General features: G+C 46.7%; 1 protein-coding gene across 3 annotated transcripts in view, besides 1 other annotated feature; it reads left to right on the top strand.

The window, feature by feature from the left end:
- SLC6A11 (solute carrier family 6 member 11) overlaps positions 1 to 22,607 on the top strand; it is a 124,487-nt gene that overhangs the window by 48,378 nt on the left and 53,502 nt on the right. For all 3 annotated transcript variants that reach the window (NM_014229.3, XM_011534033.3, XM_047448764.1), the window contains one exon: positions 10,356 to 10,490. In NM_014229.3, the coding sequence (NP_055044.1) occupies positions 10,356 to 10,490 (135 nt within the window). The remainder of the gene's footprint in view (positions 1 to 10,355; positions 10,491 to 22,607) is intronic.
- Positions 2,886 to 3,086: a silencer, noted in NCBI's record as "peak4541 fragment used in MPRA reporter construct". NCBI's record gives its function as "represses an SCP1 promoter by STARR-seq MPRAs in K562 erythroleukemia cells {active_cell/tissue: K562}" and the evidence as "EXISTENCE:reporter gene assay evidence [ECO:0000049][PMID:32103011]".

Consider the following 22,607-nt stretch of genomic DNA (forward strand, 5'->3'; position numbering starts at 1 on the left):
AACTCAGCTTTGATTTCCTTCTATCCTTTTAAATTGGAGTAGATCTTATTTGGTTTCATCCAGATATAATTTTTTCCCTTCCTTCTAGGCACTGTCTGCACCCTGGCCCATCAGCCGCCACAGTTAGGACTTCAGAGAGGATTCTCATCCATAGTGGCCGCTCTGGCTGATTCCCTCTGTCCTTCATTTGAGTCTGGCTGCTGCAGCTCCTCCAAACAGCTGTGTGTGCTTCTTCTCTGTCCAGAGGTCTTTCTTATCTCTGGGTTCTATTCACTCAGATTTTCCCAGCCAATGGATTATCACCTCTTAACACCAGCCTTCCACTGCTGCCCCCATCTATCAGGGAGAAGATCCATAAGGATTGTCAAGAGCCATTTCCCAGTGTCCCTCACAGCTGAGACAGAGCTGATTCCTGCCTCTTTGTCTGTGGTCTTGAACCCTCAGATATGTTGTTCTCTGCCAGCCAAGGCCACTCACTCACTGGGTTGGAGAGGCATTGCTTATTGCACAGTGATGGTGAGTAAAGACAGTCACAATCTTTCTAATTATTGAGCTGTCTTCATGTCAGATGCTTTGCAGAGTGATCTCTAACCAATCCTCACGACATCATTTGAAATAGGCATTATCCTCATTTCACACAGAAGATGGAAGCTTAGGAAGGTCTCATGGACCGCCAAGCCCATGCATGCGCCTTGTGCTTGGTGATGGGGCCCATGCCAAATTTGGCCATCCTGTCAGGCCCATTTTAAACTGGCAGAGAAGGCTAAACCTGTGGTGGCCAGGCACAGTGGCTCACACCTGTAATCCCAGCACTTTGGGAGGCCGAGGTGGGTGGATCACGAGGTCAGGAGATCGAGACCATCCTGGCTAACACGGTGAAACCCCGTCTCTACTAAAAATACAAAAAATTAGCTGGGTGTGGTAGCATGCACCTGTAGTCCCAGCTACTTGGGAGGCTGAGGCAGGAGAATCGCTTGAATCCAGGAGGTGGAGGCTGCAGTGAGCCAAGATCACACCACTGCACTCCAGCCTGGCTACAGAGTGAGATTCTATCTCAAAAACAAAAACAAAAAACCCTGTGGCTTCCCAAGACATGGTGATATCTTTGGTAAAGCTGTTCTAACTGCTCTTTACACAGACAAAACTTTCTGAAGACTTCCTGATTCCTTTTATTGCTGTTCCTGGTTGACTACAGGTGTAGAAGGATGGTCACTCTTAAGGGTCCACCTTCAGCTCCTGGGTTGTCCTCAGAATCTTCTCTTCCTGTCTGAGTAGAAGGAAACAGTGTGGATCATTTGGGCTAGTGCCTCCATTTGGTGAGAAACAACAAAACAGCAACAGGACCCACCCAAGATCACAGAGGCAATTGGTGGTTAGATATTTAGCTTCCATGTTTGACTCCTTATAATGGAGACCTCAGAGAACAGAAGCATAAACAGGATAGTTTATTTCTCTCTCCCATAACAGCATGGGTGTGAGCTGCCCAGTTTCAGGGACCCAGACTCCTTCTGTTCTGTTGCTTTGCTTTCCTTAGGGTGTTGCCCTCATTTACATGGCCTAAGATGGCCCAAGACTGTTTTCATTTCAGCCCATGGGAAGGGCAAGAAAGGAAGGATGGGTTACAGCCCTTCCCTTTAAGGACTTGACCTGGAAGCTGTACCTGGCACCTTCATTTCTATCTTGTTGGCCAGAACATAGATGGCCACGCCCACCTACAGAGGAAGCTGGGAAATGTCTTTATTTGGGGCAGCCATGGGTCCTTTTGAAAATGAGGGGTTTTGTTACTGCAGAAGAGGGAGAATAGAGTCATGGTCTCTGTGCTGTGGTGGGATGGAGACCACCTGCTGGGCTGTTCCCAGCTCCAGTCCTGCCCCTCAACACCTTTCTTCTCTTCCTTCTCAACCCAGCCCAGGGATAGTGCCCTGAAACGTGGATCCCACATGGGTCAGTGTTTAGTTAGATTATTTTAGGCCCCACACACGGGCTAATTTTCACAGCTAATGATACACCACTTGCACTTGTACAAAAATTATAACTTTAGCTCTTCATGGAAATACCACTGCATTGTTAAAATACCATTACCCCCTTGAAGAAATGCCACTGTTTTCTTGTGAAAACATGACTCTACCTATTTAGAATTTGGTTGCTTAAAACAGAAAGTTTTCCCCTACATTTACTATTTCTGTTAGAATGTTCTAGAACAACACCTCCAACAGTGGCAAAAATTGTGAGGAGGCCACATGTGTCCAGGGTGGCCTTTCTTCTTTAGATATGCATTCTCTTGCATTTTATTCCCAAAGATAAATAGTATCTTTGTGGGAGTTATGCCAGACTGTTAGTTGACTGCTTTAGTGTTCTTTCCTGGGAATGCAGGTAGTAGTCTCTAAAAAACCAAAGGGGAGAAAAATCAGTTAATATTTAAAAGAGTGATTGTCTAGGGATTGGATGTTCAGTGCCATGCTTTCTGGCCGTATGGGATGGGCAGATGCACCTGAGAGATAGAAGCGAGACTGGCTGGAAGGGGATGCAGGGGAGAGGCGGGACTGCACAGTGTCCTCTGGCTGGGAGAGTGGGCGATGGATTATGAGTTGCTGCCAAATGTCAGGCAAGCTGAACACTTGAGGTTAAAAACAGCCAGAGGAGAAGACAAGATGGCAGCACCTGGCCACACGTGTGGCAGAGTGCAGCATGTGTGCTGGAGAGAGCAGACTTCCGAGCACTTCCAGCATTGTGACCTAGAATTCCCTAGGCTTGGAGAGATTTTTGTCTGCCTAGGCTCGGAGGAATTTTTGTCTGCAAAGTGGGGAAAGAACCTACTCAAGTGGTGTGAAAATTAGTTAGAGATACTGTATGAGATATTTCTGGCACCCAGTAGGTGTTCAGTTAATAGCAGCATTTTCCAAGGCTCTGGGTATCAGGTTCACAGAAGGTTCAACCCAAATCCGTGTCAGGACCCTGGATAGCTCCAAGGAGTCCTGGTCCTTTGGCTGACTGAGAGAGCAAGGAAGGACCTCAGAAACCATCCATCTGGTCCTTTCCCACAAATCCAGAAAGAGTTCTTTCCACTCGTGGTCCACGGGATGATTTCAGTGATAATCCATGAACCCAGACTGCAGAGCATCCAATTACGAAGTGAGACAGCTCTTCCCTTTTCATGTCCCTTAAGGTGAAAGGTATGCTGAGGTGCTGGTTTATCTTTAGCACCTCTCTAGAACTTGCTTCTCCTGCTTTTGAACAAAGACAGAACACAGCTCAGACTCAGAGTCTTTGGCTAGAATTTAATCACATTTTATTTTCGTCACATTTATTTTTGTAGTTACTTTCCATTTGCAGTAAGAGATCATAGTTTTCTGTTTATGGTGGTAATTCACAGTTTTCTCATTATGTATATTTGTTTAATATAAAAGAGTGTACTAATATATAGATAATATTAAGTAAATAATACAAAGGTGCTATGTGTATATGGCCAAAAAATACTGGGAAGATGCTATGAATGATTGAAGTTTGGATTAGTCTATCCTTGCCTCTTCGTAGATGGTAAATGCCAGCCCAGAGAGGGTATGGAACTGGCCCCAGCTGCCCAGCACATTGGATCTTCTGATTTTGTGGTCCTAGGTTCTTGCCCCACACTGCCCTGCTTTTTTGGATGCCTTTTGAACAAGACTTGGCTTTCCAATTGACTCCATTATCCTGGAAATCTTAGGGTGGGGTGGCCCTTCTACAATGTTTGTGGCATTCCAAATGATCAGACAATCTCCTTGCTCTGAAATAAATGGCCGTGTCCTGGGCGTAGGGGGAAAACCACCCCACAATCCCAGTATTGGGATGTAAATGAGCAATTAGCGTCAATTAAAACAGGATACAGTATAATTACCACCAATTGTGCTAACCTTTATATTCAGAAAGCCTTGACCTGTGAAAAGGGAATTAAACAATAGTGAAAACTCTTAACCAAGGGGTGTGTTTTGGGCAGTGATGCCTCCTTTCATGGACTGAGGGTTCTGACAGATTAGACCCTCCTTTCTCCACGCCCACCCTTCTGGGTCTGGGCCACTACTGGCAGTGGCCAGGAACAGCCAGGCTTGATGGTACCTTGTCAGAGACCTTATTAGGCCCATCACCAAATGCTGCATAGTTCAGCATAATGCCTGAACCCTGCTGTGGCCTCTTGCCTCTTCCAGACAAATTCTAGGGCCTCAGACATCTTGAAAGGGACACTTTGTTAGGAAGCACCTTGCACCTGAACTGTCCTGCCCTCTGTATATGACCTGGTCTGTCTTTTAAAGCCAAATCCTTTGTGATGTCCTTGTTTATAAATATGCCTCTGAAAATCTGATTCAATTTTCTGAATCCCCTTTTATGTGGACCCAGCATCACATATGGATGCAGCACAAAGCAGTGTTCCTAATGACCTGCATTGTAACCTCAGAGTTCCAGATCTCAGCCTGCTTCTTTATTCCTCTGTCCAACAAATATGTATTGAGCACACCTTATGTGCTATATACACTGTCCTGGGTGCTGTGGATGCAGCAGGGAAAATAAAAGACCAAACCCTTATATTGTAAAAATCTTAAACTTACAAGGCAAGAAAATTGCTGATGGAGAGCAGCTTTAGGTGCTGGGAGGATGCGGGAATGACAGGGGTGATGAATGTGGGATGGGGCTCAGGGAGGACGGGGCAATTCATCCTCTCAGCAACATCTGGGCAGACAGTGTGGTTTATGAGGCTAAGAGGGTGGCTTCTGTAGCGAGACAGACATTTTAAATGGACCACTCTGAGCCTCGTCTTCCAGACCTTTAAGATAGAAAGGACAATGAGTTCTCAACTGGAGGGCAGGGCCCTGACTTGGAGGAATCCTCTGCCTGTGGGGACTCAGACACACACAGGACAAACGTCTTGGGTGGCCGAGGAGCTGGGGATGGACTCTGTGGACAAAGAGAGACTGAGAAAAGGCAAGGAGGCCTAAGAGGCCTGGCACGTTCCCCAATAGCAGGGAACCTGGTAGTCTGGGGAAGGGTGGAGACTGGCCAAGTCACACGGCAAGCCCAGGCAGAGCCAGGACTGGACCAGCGTTATCCGACTCTAAGCCCAACCCTTTCATCATATCCCACAACCTTGAATGCGAGGCTGAGGAGGTTAGACTCAGGAACAGGGAAGAGACATGCAGGATTATTATTTTTGTAACTGCAGCTGCAGTATGGACAGTATAGGCTGTCAGTGACCAAGAAGAAAGGTGATGAATGGCACCAGCAATGGCGGTAAAAAGGGGGTGTAACTTCAGAAGGTAGTTGGAGATCTAGTTGGCAAGACTTGATCACTGATTGAATGTGGGGGAAGCTGAGAAGAGAGGTGAACCTAACTCTGAGCATACCTGAGTGACAACCTGGAGGTTCCTGAATATATGAGGGGGCAGACAATACCCTCTGCCTATTTCTGCGTCCTTGGCTAGTTCCACATCTTCCCTGCCTGATCCAACCTCTCCTATTCCTGCTTATCTTTGGGGACCAAGCTCCAGCCCATGTTCACAGACAGGAGAAGGCTGGATCCCTTCCCGGAGACCCTGGAAGCACCTTCCCAACCTGTCTCCATAGCCTCCTTTTCTTGTGTGACCCTCATTGTGTGGTGTCATGATCCCAGGAGTTTCATTCCTAGATGCTCATGTGCATAAATTCCTTCCTCAAGGACTAGACCTAGGTCTTACCATTCTGTTGACCTGCAGGAGAGTCTGAGAAAGCATAAATGAAACATGGACTAGACCAAGGGTAGCAGATAGAGGGGTTTCATCCCAGCTGATTATGGCTGGCTGCCTGGAGTGCTGTGCGGAGGGTTCTGAGGCTGCATCCAAGCTTAGCTGCAAAGAATGCTGTGATCTATTAGTGATGTCTGGCAAGGCACAAGAGGGAAGAGTGGCAGTATGTGTGTCACTTATGTGCAGTCTCTTGATGACAAGAATCTGTATGGTTTTGACAATGCACAGCTGTTCTCAGGAAAAGTGAAAGATGATGTCCAAGTGTCTGGCATGGCCAAGGGTAGAAACAGATTAGAAGTAGCTTTTACAGAGCCACTTTTTAAAGTGGCTTTAAAAGAGCTATAGACACAGGCTATCCTCAGCATTGAATTTCAACCTTCATACCAATCTCCACTTGTGTGCCTTACATAATGATGCCTCTAAGCCACCTTTTGTACCCTGACTCAAGGCTCTCAAACCTCAGCTTACAAATGATTTTTTCTGGGCTAATGCCTGCCAGCCAGTGGTTTCATTTTGGCAGCCTAACTCTTTGTCTGCACTGTGGTCTTTGGGCAATTCATTTGAATATTTTATTTCCCTTGATTTCTTTTCCCTTGGTTTATGGTTTTATAAAAGAAGTATAAAAATGAAGGTGTGAATAGCAGTGGAGGGAATGTAGTTCTCCTAAATATAATGTAGAAGTAGAGCATCGATTCAGAACTCTAAACAATGGAATTGCTTCAAAATTATCATCAGCCACATAATAAACCATGTCACTGTAGTAACTGAGGAGCAGTCTTCTGTACATGGTGCCTGGGAACTGTGAGGCTACATTTGGCCAGGTTTTAAGTGACCCTCTTAATGACACCCCACTGGCTCAGTCTACCCAGTGGAAACTGGACATAGCATAACCAGCAAGCATAATCACATCAAAGTGGCCCCACAGGTGAAGGACAAATTTTTATGATTTTTGAGTTGTTCTTATGTTTTACATGGTAAGGTTCTTTTCCTTAAATTTTGCAAGCATTGGGAATTAAGATAGCTGAGTTCCAAATATTATGTATCTGGAACACTTCAGCTCCTGGACATTCTGGATAATTAATCTTCTGCCACACAACAGAGACAAAAGTGGAAATTACTAAATGAAAGCAATGGGTTATTAGCCTCAACCTGATGTTTTATAGACTTAAGCTGATTGGCTTTGGTTGGGGGGGAGGGGGTGATTTTGAAGGAAATGAATCAAGAATGTATATGAAATGCCGAAGATCTATCATAGATGCTGTGTATAAAGCTAAGTGAAACTGGAGATTTTATAGCACTTTTAGCTCTCTGCAGAAACCATCAAGCCTTATTGATTACTGGCCTCTTATTTTTATTAATATTAATATTGATTTCTGCTCTTTTATATTTGATCTGCACCTTTTCTGGATTACATTGCATATGATAGCAAGAGATTGTGTTGATTACTTGACATGTCGATTGAGCTGATGGTTGATTTGGAAACAGGGATGCAGAAATTGGTGGTGCAGGGGCCATGAGTGGGCTGGGGAGGTTACCATCATTGCAGAACAGAGACATTGTCTGAATAAAATAGTCCAGCCTTTCAGGTTATGTCCACAGGACCCACTATCACCAACCTTTGCTGGTTCTAATTTCCTATTTTTGAGGACTGGGTTTAAAATCTCTGCTTTGTCATTTACAAATGGAATGACTTGACTCTTCTGAAAATCTCATCTCTAAAATGGAAAAATAACACAGAGTCTGCATGGCTGTCGTGAGGGTTGCAGATTGCATACATAGGTAGCCTGGTGGTTGAATGTGTGACCCTGGAGTCAGGCAGGACTTGCTATGACCCCCATGTCTGGTTGTCGTTCATTCACTGGGCAATCCTGGGCAAGTTATGAGTAACTTCTCTGGCCTTTGTCATGTGTAAAAAGAAGATAATCATGCCTACTCATTCTTGTTGAATGTTTCATGTGTGGAAGTGCTAAGTAAATGCAGCCATTGTTATTATCATGTGTAAAGGGCTGGGCATGGAGTGAGGATGTCTTTTTCCCGTCTTCCTTCCATCCCCATTTTCCAAGTAATGAATTCCTTATCATCCTTTATGGGCTGACACTTCTTTGGAGAAGCCCTTCTGGACTGCTCTTGCAGTGAGGGACTCACTCTGTCTGTGCTCTTCCATTCTTTTTGCTCCCCTGATGACATGAGGCATGACCTCCTGTCTATAAGTCTTTCTTTACTACCAACTGGAAGTCGCTTGAAGCAGAAATTTCCCTCCTGTGATTCAGTCTTATTTTTACCTTCCAGGACCTAGCTCAGTTCTTAGTACATGAGAGTGTTTGAGTGAGTGAGTGAGTAGGTGAATGAACTGAGTCAATAAAGGAATACATGAATGAACAAATGGGTGGAGGACTGAAGCACTGGTCAAAGAAACCCTGGGTTGAACAGGAGCGAGAGGCTAACTTAGAAAGCTGGAAGTCTCAGGGCATAGACTCTTTATCTGGGAAATTGGAGTCTCTGAACCAAAGCTTGCATGCGTATCTGCATCTGAGCACATTTGGAGGGAAGGTCCTCAGATTCTCAGAAGTGTCCCTGGACCCCAAATGTTGACAAGTTGCTGATCTGAACAGACGGAGGAGGCAGGCCCCACTGAGAGGACAGAACCAAGTGATTGGAGGAGTGAGTGTGACAAAAGAGAAAAGTCAGAACTTGCAGGACACTGACTCCTGCAGGGACCTCAGTTAAGGGGTGTGGCCGGTGCCACAAGCAGCCCCTGGGACGGGAACTCCTACAGTCCCTGCGGGCCTTGATGCCTCCTTCTAGGCCGCTCTTGTGCGAGGAAGCTCAGAGGAGGTTTGTGTCTTTCACTGTCTTGATTCTTATCCAGAATCTGCTAGCTAAAAGGGTCTCTCGGGTTCATTGGGTCCAATCGCCTGCCTCCAAATGGACCAAGCCCAAATGGTTCCAGGCAGGCACTGAGTTTTTTCTGCCCCCAAAGATTTCTGCCCTTTTCTTCCTTTCCCTCCCCTATGCTCACCTTCATTATTGTATCCTATCCTATGCTATCCTATCCTATCCTATCCTATCCTATCCTATCCTATCCTATCCTATCCTATGGCATGCTATCCTACCCTACCCTACCATACCCTACCCTATGCTATCCTATCCTATCCTATGCCATGCCATCCTATCCTGTCCTATCCTATCCTATCCTACCCTACCCTACCCTACCCTACCCTACCCTACGCTATCCTATCCTATCCTATCCTATGCCATGCTATCCTATCCTATCCTGTCCTGTCCTGTCCTGTCCATCTATCCCGTCCTATCCTATCCTATCCTATCCCGTCCCATCCTATCCTATCCTATCCTATCCTATCCTATCCTATCCTATCCCGTCCCGTCCCATGCTATCCTGTCCTGTCCTGTCCTGTCCTGTCCTGTCCTATCCTATCCTATCCTATCCTATGCTATCCTATCCTATCCTATCCTATAGTATGCTCTGCTCTGCTATGCTATGCTACCCTATCCTATGCTATGTTATCCTATGCTACTCTATGCTATCCTATGCTATGCTATGCTACACTATCCTATGTTATGCTATGCTATCCTATGCTATGCTACGCTATGCTATGCTACGCTACGCTACGCTACGCTATGCTATGCTATGCTATGCTATACCATCCTATCCTATCCTACGTTAGTCTAGCCTATACTATCCTGTGCTATCCTAGTCTCTCTTTAACTATGCATACTTAACTTTCAGTAAGAGCTGTGGCTTTAAAAATGTGGGTATTGACCCAACAGTGAATTCTAAAGTGGATTTAGAAGATCATGGCCAGCTTATTTAAAAAAAGAATACAATAGAAAATATTAGCATGTATCACACATGTGTTATGTTGTGAAACTTCTTTTTCAGCTCTATGTGTGCTGGATTGTGATGTATATTTCTTTCTGTGTTGTGGTCAAAAAAATTCAACAAGCACCACTCTCAAGCACATCACGGGCACTCAGTAGACAGCACTGAGAGACCTAGCCTGTGATGAGGTATGAGGCAGGAGGACAGGCCGTGTTAGGGGTTACTTCTTGTTGCTGCACCAGGAAGCCCTTCTTTCCTTTACCCCCTCTGTGGCCCACTCCTATCACCCCTGCTTCCTTTTCCTTTTTAATTTTATTTATTGTGGTAAGAACACTTAACATGAGATCTGCCCTCTTAACATATTTGTAAGTATCCAATGCATTGTTGTTGACTGTAGGTGCAATACTGTCCAGCAGGTCTCTAGAGCTGATACATCTCACTACTGAAACTGTATACCTCCTGATTAGTGATGCCCCATTTCCCCCCTCCCAGTTCCCCACAACTGCCATCCCACTCTTTGATTCTATGAATTTGACTCTTTTAGGTACCTCACATGAGTGGAGTCATGCAGTATTTGTCCTTCTGTGATTGGCTTGTACAGATGAATGGATCAAGCAAATGTGGTCTATACACGCGGGGGAATGCTGGTCAGCCTTGGGAGAGAGGGTCCTGGTGCAACATGCACCCAAAGGACATTGTGCTGAGTGAAGTAACCCCATTGCTCTCACCCCCTTCTTGATTCTGTCCTCTCCTCTTGTGCACAGGTTGTATACGTGACTGCGACATTCCCCTACATCATGCTGCTGATCCTCCTGATACGAGGGGTCACGTTGCCCGGGGCCTCAGAGGGCATCAAGTTCTACTTGTACCCTGACCTCTCCCGGCTCTCCGACCCCCAGGTAAGAGTCGCTTGCTCAATGTGCAGCATCACCCACCACCACTGGGAAGCCTTCTGCAGAGCCCCTGCCACTGGCCACTGAGATTCAACAGCTGGTTGAACAGTGGAAAGCCTGTGGACTCTTTCCCAGAATAATTTTAAATGCATAAATTTAATACGTAGGAAATCAAATATTTTGAAATACCGTTACCAAAACATTTTAAAAAGGCAAATTTGTGACATGGTAATAGATGCACATTTTAAAACGAGGACATTACATAGCCAGATCCAGCAGCAAGTCTGATGACTACTGTGATTTTAAAGCAGCAATGAGCATAAGTGACATTTCAAGATAGCTACACCATGATATGAAAATATCTTCTATTGCTAACAGGACTGCAGTTCATTGCCTGCATCTAAAATTGAAACAAATACTAAATTTCAGTTAGAAGTTAATTAAAAATTAAAAAAAAATTACTGCCCCAAATCACAGATCTCTGCAGTAGTGCATCTTGGTGAGAGAAACTGGGTCTTTGTTCATGATTGATTTTCTTTGTGGGAGTAGCTCGTAGTAAAAAAAGAGTTGGAGAAACTGGCTAAGCTATCAGTTGTCTTTGGTAAGGCATTGGTTGTTCTGAATGGTGGGCAGTAATTGTGCCTAAGGTTCTCTTAGTGGGTACATGGTGGTGTGCCCTGGAATACGTTAAACAGATAAAAACAGAACATCTCACAAGCCTGGTGGTTCTCAACCTCAGCTACACGTCAGAAACTCTTGGGGAGCTTTTGAAAACCCTAATTCCCAGAGCATAACCCAGACCAATTAAAATGAACTCTCTGGGTGTGGGTTGCAGGTGTCAGTATCTTTTAAAGGACTCTAGGTCATTCTAGTGTGTGAAATAACTTAATCAAAGACATTTGAGCAGGCAAGCAGGCACTCATTTTTCTGTTAAAACACAGAACACATGGAATCAGTACAGTTTCCAAATAGGAAATGAGGCTTGCAAGAAGTTTCAAGTCTGCGATCTGTGGCTTCCAGCCACCTCCTGTTAGGGGAGCTTGTGGGGGAAGCGTTTGTTGGGGGATGGTTAGTGCAGCTCAGAGGCCCCTCATCACGGTGGGCAGAGTGGGAAGTTAGCTCATTTTTGTCTCAGTTTGCCATGCCTTGCAGGGCCTTGAGGCTGAGGATACCACTAGGCACCTGCATGGCATTCTGAATTGCAGGCAGAATCCCTGGGAAGAAGGAAATTAGCTTCAACTGTTGGCTTTGCCAGTTCCTGATCTCTGATGGCAAAGGCTCAGTTGAAGGAGCAGTTTTGGAGAACATATTCTACAAACCACTGATCGGTGTGTTTTTATGAGGTCCATGCATTCTGCCTTGATCCAAGACAGATTTCCCCTTCTCTCCTCTGCTTATGGGCTTCTTTCTTCCTGGTAGTCATTCAAGAGCCACTGAGTGTCACCCAGAGTTTCCAAATCTGGCTGATCATCCGAATACCTTGGAGCTGGTTAAAAATGCTGATTCTAGGCCCTACTCCCGGTGATCCAGTTGCAGTGGGTCTGTGATGGCACCTGGGCATCCATATTATTAAGAACCCCCAGAGGTGATTCTTATAATCAAAAAAGTTTGGGAAAATCCAGGTGGCACCTACACCTTAAACGCCCCGCCCCCCCCCCCCCGCCCCACCTCCCACACAGAGAGAGAGAGAGAGAGAAAAAAAAAAAACAAACGAGAACTAACACAGAGGTGAGGCAGGCCAGGCCATTTTCTACCATCTGCTTCCTTTTAGGCCCTGGCCACCAGCCAGTATTAAGTAGTGGAGAGCACATTGGTCTGAGAGTTGGGACTTGGGTTCTCCTGGTTCTGCCATGGAACCTGAGTACCTGTGGACAAGTTCCTTCTCCCTTCCCTCTTTCTGGTCCTCAGTTTCTTCACTGGTGACATGAAAGGGTTTTCAAAGTGGATTTGGAGAGCCCCCACTTTTCCATGAGCATAGGCTGGCAAACTATGGCCTTCAGGTCACATCCAGCCCTCTGCCCATTTTTATAAATAATGTTTTATTGGAACACAGCCTGTTATTTGTTTACATATTGTTATCCATGGCTGTTCTAGCACTCAAAGGCAGAGTTGAGTAGTTGAGACAGAAACCCTATGGACCCCTGTGTCGGGGGGTGGTCCCAAGATTACCTACATATTTGGTAATTTAGGATTCACAGGACACAGAAGCAGTTATACTCATGGATGTGGTTTGTTTCCATCATCAGCAAGACAAAGACACTCACCAGGCAGAATGTGGAGGAATCCATGCACAGGCTTCTCACTTTCCCTCCCTCCTGCCTGGAGCGGGTATGCAGACTGTGTTCCTTCCTCCAGCAAGGAAATGCAGCAGCATGTGTGCAGGGTTTCTGCCCAGAGAAGCCTTCCTGCGATGCAGAGTCCAGGTTTTTAGTGAGGGTGTTTTATTGACTGCACAGGTACTTCCTGCCTCCATGATCAGCCACAACCCTCTGACTTCCAGACTCTCAGAGGAAACACAGGTGTTCACCAGAAATCACATTGCTATACAAATGGTCTAGGCAGGCAGCCTTTATGGGATTCAGTGTTCCAGGCATACAAAACAACCGTGTCAATTAGTACCACAGGGAGCATCCTAAAAGCCCAATTCCCAGACACCAGGCAAGAGCCAACACTACAAATGGGCCCGACTTTGGAGCAACATTGGGCCTGCTCTGTTGACTCTTTCCTACAGGCCTGCAAAATCTCAAGTGTTTACCACTTGGCTCTTTCTAGAAAAAGTTTGCTGACAGTGCACTGGGGTACCCTCAGGGGCATGTGAGCAGGGGTTGATGGGCCCCACTCCACCTGACCCCCGACTCCGTCCTTGTTGCTCTCCACCCCTGCTGCCACCAGCCTAGTCCAGGCCACCACCATCTCCCACTGGAAAACTGTAGTAGCCCCCTAACTGGTCATCCAGAAATGGCTCCTTGACCATCTAGGCCACTCCCCACCCAGCAACAGAGGGATCTTTTTGAAATGTAAATCCAATGGGCACCTCTTTTGCTTAAATTCTCCTGGGATTCCCTGTGGTCTTTGGAATAAGATCCAAATGGTGGGGTCCCTACTGTCCTCTGTGAGCTGCCTCCTGGCTGCGTCCCCTACTACTCTCCCCCTCTTTCAGCTCATTCCAGGTATTGACCTCCTCTCTGGGCATCCAGTAGACATGGCCTTTCTACCCCAGGGCCTTCACATATGCTGTTTCTCTGCTGGAAACACTCCTTCTTTCTTCCCCAGACTGTCCTTCCCCAACTTGACTGACCAACCATCCACTCATCCTTTTTTTTTTTTTTTTTTGAGATGGGGTCTTGTTCTGTCATCCAGGCTGGAGTGCAGTGGTGTGATCTCGGCTCAATGCAACCTCCGCTTCCCAGGTTCAAGCAATTCTCCTGCCTCAGCCTCCTGAGTAGCTGGGATTACAGGAGTGCTCCACCACACCTGGCTAATGTTTGTATTTTTTTTTTTTTTTAGTAGAGATGGGGTTTTGCCATGTTGGCCAGGCTGGTCTCAAACTCCTGACCTCGTGATCCACCCACCTTGGCCTCCCAAAGTGCTGGGATTACAGGCGTGATCCACCGTGCCTGGCCCACTCATCCTTTAGGACTGAGTTTAAACATCACTTTCTCAGGCAAGTCTTTTCTGATTGCCCACCATGCACCACCCCCAGCACCCCATACTTATTTTCCAAAGCACCTACATATCCTATATATTTACAGTAAGATATTTATGTGTGTATATAATTGTGTGTGATCTTTATTTGTTCAATGTCCATTTACTTGTTGAACAGGTATTTTCTGAGTGCCTACTCTGTGTCAGAGATTATTGTAGGCATTGACAGTTTTCCACAGGGTGGCCACTGGCTGAGAAGGCAGCTTGGGAGCAAGGTCTGTATCTGCCTTTCCTACCATTGTATCCTCAGTCCCTGATGAGCTCAATGCCTGGTACACAGTAGGTGTTCCTTAAATGTTTGTTGAATGATAGGAGTAAGGGCTATTTTCATTTTTCACAAGAAGGTTCTCTTTAACAAAAAGTCTAATAACCTCCAGATCACCAAATCCGTGAGCTGTAATGTTTTTTGATTCTCTGTCAGCGATGGCTAGGAAGTGTGTATGTGTGTTTGTGTGTGTCCCAAAAGCAACTATGTCCCCAAAAAGTAACTGCTGATTTTCTGTGGCATAAATAAGGATCGCGACCCCAAGAGGGAAAGGAAAACAAAACCCCATGTATGTTGGTGTGTTTTGGCAGCTGGGGTATGCTGCAGGAAGAAGCCCAGTGTGGCCTAATTCCAACTGTCCCCATTTGTGAATACCCAGCCCATGAAGAAGCAAGAAGCACTGGTTTCCATTCCTGCTCTCTGCCAGTGGTGATATGACCTTGAGGAAGGCTCCTAGCCTCTAGGGGGCCATGTCCCCTCCTCCCTCAATCACAGGTTGCACCCGCCTGCCCCAGCCAATGGCCTTGAAGGTTAAGTTTGATGGCCCAGTCATGGAGGAATATTTTTTCTTTTGAATTATGTATGTATGTTTATAGGCATTAGGAATAAAACCGGGACATAAACCATATCAAAATCATGGCTTTATTGCTATTATTGCTAGAATGAGACTATATATATGATATGTATGATCTCATACATACACATATATACATACATACATATATATACAGGTTGAGTATCCCTAAGTGCTCCAAAGTTTGAAACCTTCTGTGTACCGACATGGCTCTCAAAGGAAATGCTTCAATGAGCATTGGAGCTCTTTGGAGCATTTCAGATTTTCAGATTAGACATACTCAACCTGTACATACATACATACACATATATGTCATATATGTGATTAAAAGTGAGGCTAATTTAAAGGCAAATGTTCAAAAAATATTTAAAAAAAGCATGGACATGACAAATGTAGTGCAGGTGGAAGGTGGCTGGCCAACATCTGAGGCACAGTGCTGTGGCGGTAGAGAAACATCCTAAGCTAGTCTTAGGACTTCCATAGCCACATGGTCACCCTACAGACAACTGAGGCACAGCTCCCAAAGTTAGGAAGAGTAGATTAGGAAGAGGGGTCGACTGGAAGTATTTTATCAGGAAGTCAGTGAAAGTTTCCATCTTGTATCTCTTTGTAGTGTTGTCCTCTTAGCAAGTCCACATTATTTGTTTGTTTTCTGAAAATGATCCTTAGTTTTCCTGTACTTCTGGAAATGATCCTGCAGTTCAAATTGCACCACGAAGAAAAGTTCCCAGATAGTGTCCCTAGGCCTGGCTGTTGGGCTAGTCTGGGAGCATGGGCACCTTTGTGTCTTTGGGATAATCCAGCAGTTGCAGTATTCAGGCCTCTTGCAGCTATGAGAAATTTAAGTGGGTGACTCTATAGCCAGTAAAATCTCTCCCACAAGTGGAGAAATAGGAAATAGGAAGGAGAGGTGATTAGGGGAGGAAGAGAAGCCTGCGGGGAGTCAGAGGGCTGAGCCTCAGGCTGAGCTCCAGGATACTTTCAGGTCTCCAGCCTCTGAGCCCCGTTGGTCCCCAGGGCTGCTCCATCTAGTCCCTTGGAGGATGAGGGTGAGCTCAGGTGGACTGAGGGCCAGGAGGGGGTGAAATGAGCACTTGGTGGGGAGTCCTTCCTAGTCTATGGACTCCAGGATGGCAGGGATTACAACAAACATGTGTCCCATTCATCTATCACCAGAGCCCAGCAACCCTTCCTTAATTTGTTCTACTGGTAGTTATTGCAGCCCCACCTGTGCCAGCTACTCAGCATGTAGAATGAGTAAGAGCCTCCTTGTCCCCAGGGAGCATGCAGTCTGATGGGAAAGGGTGGAGTCTCACCTCTTCTGGGGTTCCCTCCCTAGAAGAAGAAGGAAGTGTGGTTGGATGAGACCAGAAGTTCTCCTCCATTCTTAGTCTGTTGAGAAGGAGTAGCAAATTGTTGTTGGTAATCATCTGAGTACCAGAGCCTGTGAACGACTTGTGCCTTTTATACATTAGAGTGGGCTTAAAGTGACTGCATTTAGGCTGGACACAGTGGTTCACCCCTGTAATCCCAGCACTTTGGGAGGCTGAGGCAGGCAGATCACTTGAAGTTGGGAGTTTGAGACCAGCCTGGCCAACATGGTGAAACTCCGTCTCTACTAAAAATATAAAAATTAGCCAGATATGGTGGCACACACCTGTAATCCCAGCTACTCTGGAGGCTGAGGCAGGAGGATTGCTTGAACCTGGGAGGTGGAGGTTGCAGGGAGCCAAGATAACGCCACTACACTCCAGCCTGAGGGACAAAGCGAGACTCCGTCTCAAAAATAAATAAGTAAGTAAAGTAGAGTGGCTGCATTTATACCATCACTTTCCCTCTCTTGCCTTTCTAGGAACTTCCTGGAAAGGTCCACTGGGAAAGTCAGGAGGGCTGTTAGCTTGTGTACCTTGCGTTAGAACCCCAAAATTGCCTTGTCTCTTGTGGCTCTGTGAAGGGCCAGCCTGCCATCGTGCTCCAGTAATAACCGTGGGGATGGCATGTTATCAGCAGAGTTCACTTCTCTGCAAACATGTGTGGGGTTCATGAAGCCTGGGCCTGGGCCAGGACAAGTGGGCACGTGCAGGTCAGCAGGTAGAGGAGAGTCCGTTGGCACCTTCCCACCCCAGAGGATACTCTTCTGCCCACATCCCCACCAGAGCGATGAGGAGCCCCAGTTTAGCCCTGTGGCCCGTCCATGATCCAGGATCTCCATTAATTCCAGACTGATTCCCAGCTCCCCTTCCCTCAGGATTACAAGGGGCTCAGACATGCCTATTTGCTGTGTCATTTACATTTCTAAAGGGGACACAGGGCGTCTGACTGGTACAAAGCTCTGGACTCCAGCTTCCAGCCTTATACAAGGACGTTCCCTGGGAGGGTGCTCCTGCCCCTCCACATGTGGGCAGCAGGGATTCTGCATGAAGGCTGATAAAGTGTTGAGCTGGGTGGCTGTGGCTGCCTTCATGGTGGCCCCATTCGTCCTCCCTCCCGGCCAGTAAAGCCAGAAAGGGTGAAAAGAGCTCAGCCAGGAAACCTGAGGGCTGAGACGGCACAGCAAGTCATTTCTACTCCTTCTTTGGAGCCTTGGGAGCCATTTTACTTTCCTGCTCTTTATGCAGAAGTGGGGAGAATAGCTTCTCCACTGATCAAGAGAGAGAAGTGTGAAAATTGTTTGAAAGTCTAACGGGGTGCCCGCCCGACCGGTGCAGTCACAATGAAGGTCCCAACCACCTTATTTAAAATCTTACCACCACCCCACGTGCTCCTGGTGCATCTCATCTGTCTTCCCAGCTTGCACTCATCACCATCGCAGATGCCATTCAGTTTGCATCACCGTTCTCCACCCACTAGGATGTACGCCCCATGCAGGTGGAGAATTTATCTGTTACTTGCCCTGTTCAATCTCCAGACCTGGAACAGTCCCTGCAACACAGGAAGGGCTCAGGAGATATTTTTTGAATGAATCGAAGGAAGGACCAAACAAGTGAACAAAGGAAGGAAGGAAAGACAGAAGGAAGAACAATTTCTAGTACAGCCTGTGTTCTTTTGCGTTACGGTTGCAGTTGTGAGTGTGCTCTTCAGAAAGCGGTATTCTTGGTGTAGTGGGATCTGGTGTGGAGGCGAGGAAATGGGAGTCACTCTGCTGCCACTGGCCAGATGGTGACCAACAGCCTGCCCCTTGACCTCTCTGGGCTCCAGGTTCTCACCTGTGCATTGTGGGTAAGAATATCGGCCGCACAGGGAGGCAGTGGGGCAAGTGTGCACATGAGGCCCAGAGCACCTCCACGTTTCCCTTCTGGCACCCAGCCTAGGGCCTGGGAGCCAGAAGAGCTCTGGAACACCGGTGGCAGTCCTCATTTTTGCCTCCACCTTGCCAGCTCTGGGCAGGACGAGTCAGGGCCCCACAGCCCAAGGGGGCGGGGGGCGGGGAGGTGGGGGGGCGCTTTGAACTTGGAACCGAGGACCTTTATTGTGGATCCAGTAAATTAAGTTTCTCGTCAAGAACTTGAAGCGACACAGCAGCTTGCCGCTTTTGTCCCCCAGCAATTTGCATTCCGTGGTCTGTTATAATTTTCTAAACATTTGTTGGTCTTCACTGTCAGCCCCGTGTTCTCTCTGAAGTGTGAAGTGCTTCCACTCCATTTTTTGCCCTCAAAATTTTACTTTCTGTCTTTTCAGTCTTTGGGGAGCTGAGGGGATCTTGCAAGAAATCACATTGTTCCTGCCCCAGATTCCCGCTCCTCTCACTCATCATTGTGTTTCAAGTGTGTGTTTTCAGGGCAAGAACAGAAAGGCCTGTCACAGATCCAAATGGTGGGGTCTGCTTTCTCCGGGCACTGGTGCACCAGTTCCCCAGATCCACCTCCTCTGTGCAGGGAACTGGAGCCTGAGACTAAGGCGTCCAAACTCTGGAGCTGGGATGAAAGATGCCCACACTGTGAGAGCACCTCAGAACACCAAATCTTCCCTGCCTCCCCAACCCACAAAAAGATGAATCAGGGAAAACAAGACCCCAGTTCAAGACCCTACCTGCTGAACCTCACAGATGTTACCATGGAATTGCTGCCACCTGGTGGCAGTGTACTCTGATTCTAAGCAAGGACCCAAAGAAGATTGGGCCTTCTGGCTGTTGGACTTTCAAACAAAAATGTCCATATCGACATCAACACAGAGACATTATATACGGTTTTGAAAATATTGCAAAGTAGTGGCCCTCACTGAGGTGGGGGCCACTACTTGAGACTGAAAATCCCCCAAGGTTTCCTTTCAATGTATTTGTTCCTGAGTTAGTTTCATTGTTCCTAATACCAAGCACTGGAATGTAAAATCAGATCATCACACATGGCGCTTATCTTCAAGGAAATGACAGTCTCTTGACACAGACACATGATTAAGCCAATGACAACAGTGGTGCCGGGCGGTGCTGAGGTTGGAACTGACCTGACAGGTGTACTCCTTCCAGTCAGAGGGTAAATTCCTCTGTAATTAGAGATGCATCACTGATCTAACATCATGCACGCTTAAAGGTAGTGGATGTTTATTCTTTTCTTGTTTCATTCCTGGCTGTTTCAGCAGTGTCTTATGATCCACAGTCCTGGAGGTTGAAACGCTGCTTGGGTACTCATAAAACTACTGATGCTGGTTATCATTGATTGATTGCTGACTTTATGCCAGGTACTGTGCTTTAGAAACTTGTCTTTTAATTTATCCAATCAGCAAATAGTTGAAAATTATTATATTTTAGACATAGGAGCTAAATGCTATATATAGGTAAAATTCTTATGACCTATAAGATAGGACCTGAGGTCTTTTTACATCATCTTATAAGTCATGAGAATTTTAAAGCCTGTGTCTTAAAGGCTCTACCAATGAGAGGACTGAGGCTCTGAGGGGCTGAAGCTTGCACAGCCAGCAGCTGAACCCAGGTGAGTCTGACTTGGCTGTGTGAGGGATACGGTACTGAAACTGTGTCGTGTCTGATTTTCCTGACCTCTCTCTATCCCTGCCCAGTCCTGGGCTGGCATTCCGGCTCTGGAATCTCTGAGCATCCCAAACCTATGTGACAACTTTGCAAGAATCCTAGAATCTTAGCCTTGGGCAGCTTTAATCTCCATTCAGCGCAGGAATCTTCTCTGTGGTAACCTTGTCAGCCTCCAGTTGGCCCCTCTGAGAGGGAGGCCTGTTACCTCTACTTTGGGACAACGTTCTACTCACCTGGTTCCCAATGTTGAGACATTCATTCATTCTATAATTTGATTATTCTTTCTTCACTTATCTGCTTTAGTTTGTCAGTCCCCCACTTTGAGAGTATCTACCAAGGTTGAGCATACTAAGTTAAGTGCAGCCTGAACAACTGAGGCACAAGTCGGCCTCCTCCGAGTGAATAGAATAGAATCAAATCACCTCCAAGGTGGGCTTCTATCTCCTCTTGATCACCGCTGCTCCCTTTCTCACATGGCAGACCAAGGGAGCTTGTTAAAAGGGATCCTGGATCGTACAACCTTCTGGCATTGTTCTTTGAATGCATTTTCCTTTAATTATTTGAATGCATTTATATTATATATTTATAGTAGCTTCTTTAAAATCTTTTATACTACGTAGTTGAATTACTAGATGACCACCTTAACCTTGTGTAGGCTCAACTTTGTTTTCTTAGTGCAGGTCTGTAGAAATCTGGACTGTTCCCAAGCCCCTCTAACTCAATAGGACTTGATAGGATTCCAAGCTCTGCCTCCCCTATAAATCTCATCAGGGCTTGGCTTTAGACTTAATTAGGATGAGTGTAAAGTCGTTCTGACTCTAGAGCATGGGTCTCAACTGAGGAAGCTTTACCTCCCAGGAGACATTTGGTAATGTCTAGAAACATTTTTTGATGGTTACAATTAGGGGATGTTACCAGCATGTAGTGGGTAGAGCCCGGGGTACTGCTAAACATCTTACAATGCACAGGACAGCCCCCATGATAAAAAAAAAAAAAAAAAATCAGGTCCCAGATGTCTGTAGTGCTGAGGTTGAGATACCCTGCCCTAGGACATGGTTCTTGCTCCTATGGTGAGGTCTTTCTGTGTCTCAGCTGAGTGCCAAGCATGAAAACTTGGGGTTGACCAGATCTCTCCACTGTGGCAGGGTTGGGAGCCCCCATCCCCTTGCCTCCCTCCCCCTGCCATCAGCATCCAGACTCCAGGGTCTCTATTCTACTCATCTCTGTAGCAATGCTCTCTGGTGAGCCTTGAGCGGTCCCACCTAGCCAGCCCAGCCTCACAGAGAGCCTCCACATGGACTTCTGGGTCCCCTCTGTGCACAGCTCCCTTTCCAGCACTCCCACTGTGGATTCCAGCTGTTCCCACTGTCCTCACTCTGGCACTGCCTCCTCTGCCCAGGGAGACTGCATGCTATGCTCAGACTCAGCTCTCTGCATGGTGGTCAGGAAGTAGTGACCAAGCAGCAGGATGGGCAAACCCTCTCAGGGGTTCCCATCTCTCAGGATTGCAGTCTAGCCCTGCACATTGTCTACTACCTGAAAATAGTGGTTTCCGTTATTTTGTCTGCTTTAATAGTTGCTATGGCAGGAGGGCTGGGCTGATCCCTGTTACTCTGGTGTGACCAGAAGCAGAGATCGACTCCCTTGCTCACCACCCCATGGCTGCATCCTCTTGCTTCAGGATTCAAATCAAGACTGCTCCCCGTGGCCATGGTCAAGGAGCCCTCTGTGGCCTGGTCCCTGTCCCATACAGCCTTGGGCATTCCAGGATCAATTCTGTTGCAGGGCTCTGACTTCTGCCTGGATCACTCTCCCCTGAGATATTCCTGTGGCTGGCTCCCTGTCATCCTGCAGATCTCAGCTCCAAAGTCAGGTCACCTCTGACCACATGAGCTCAAACGTCCCTCACTAGGCTGGGTATGGTGGCTCATGCCTGTAATTCCAACACTTTGGGAGGCCAAGACATGTGGATCACTGAGGTCAGGAATTCCGGACCAGCCTGACCAATATGATGAAGCCCCATCTCTACTAAAAATACAAAAATTAGCCAGGCATGATGGCATGTGCCTGTAGTCCTAGCTACTGGGGAGGATGAAACCGGAGAATTGCTTAAACCAGGGAGGTGGAGGTTGCAGTGAGCCAAGATCATGCCACTGCATTCCAGCCTGGGCAACAAGAGCGAGACTCCATCTCAAAAAAAAAAAAAAAAAATCTCTCCCTAGACCCTATGACCTAACAAAGCCCTTGTTTTATTTTATTCACAGGGCTGATGGCTGTCTGAAGTAATCTCATGCTTATTTGTTGATGTGTTCATTGTTAATATCCCCATTAAGAAAGTGATCTCCATGTGAGCAAAGAATTTGTCTGTCTTATCCGCTGTGAACTTCTCAGCACCTGACACAGAGCCTGGTGCATGAGAGGCTCCCAGTCAGCACTGGATGAATGTATGGACAGATGGATGGATGGATGGGCAGACAGACGGATGGATGGATGGATGGATGGATGGAAGGAAGGATGCACAGATAGATGATAGATGGATGCATGAATGGGTAGATGGATGATAGGTGGACAGATGGATAGATGAATGATAAATGGATA

This window comes from Homo sapiens, chromosome 3 (genome assembly GCF_000001405.40).
Source record: "Homo sapiens chromosome 3, GRCh38.p14 Primary Assembly".
Classification (NCBI taxonomy): domain Eukaryota; kingdom Metazoa; phylum Chordata; class Mammalia; order Primates; family Hominidae; genus Homo; species Homo sapiens.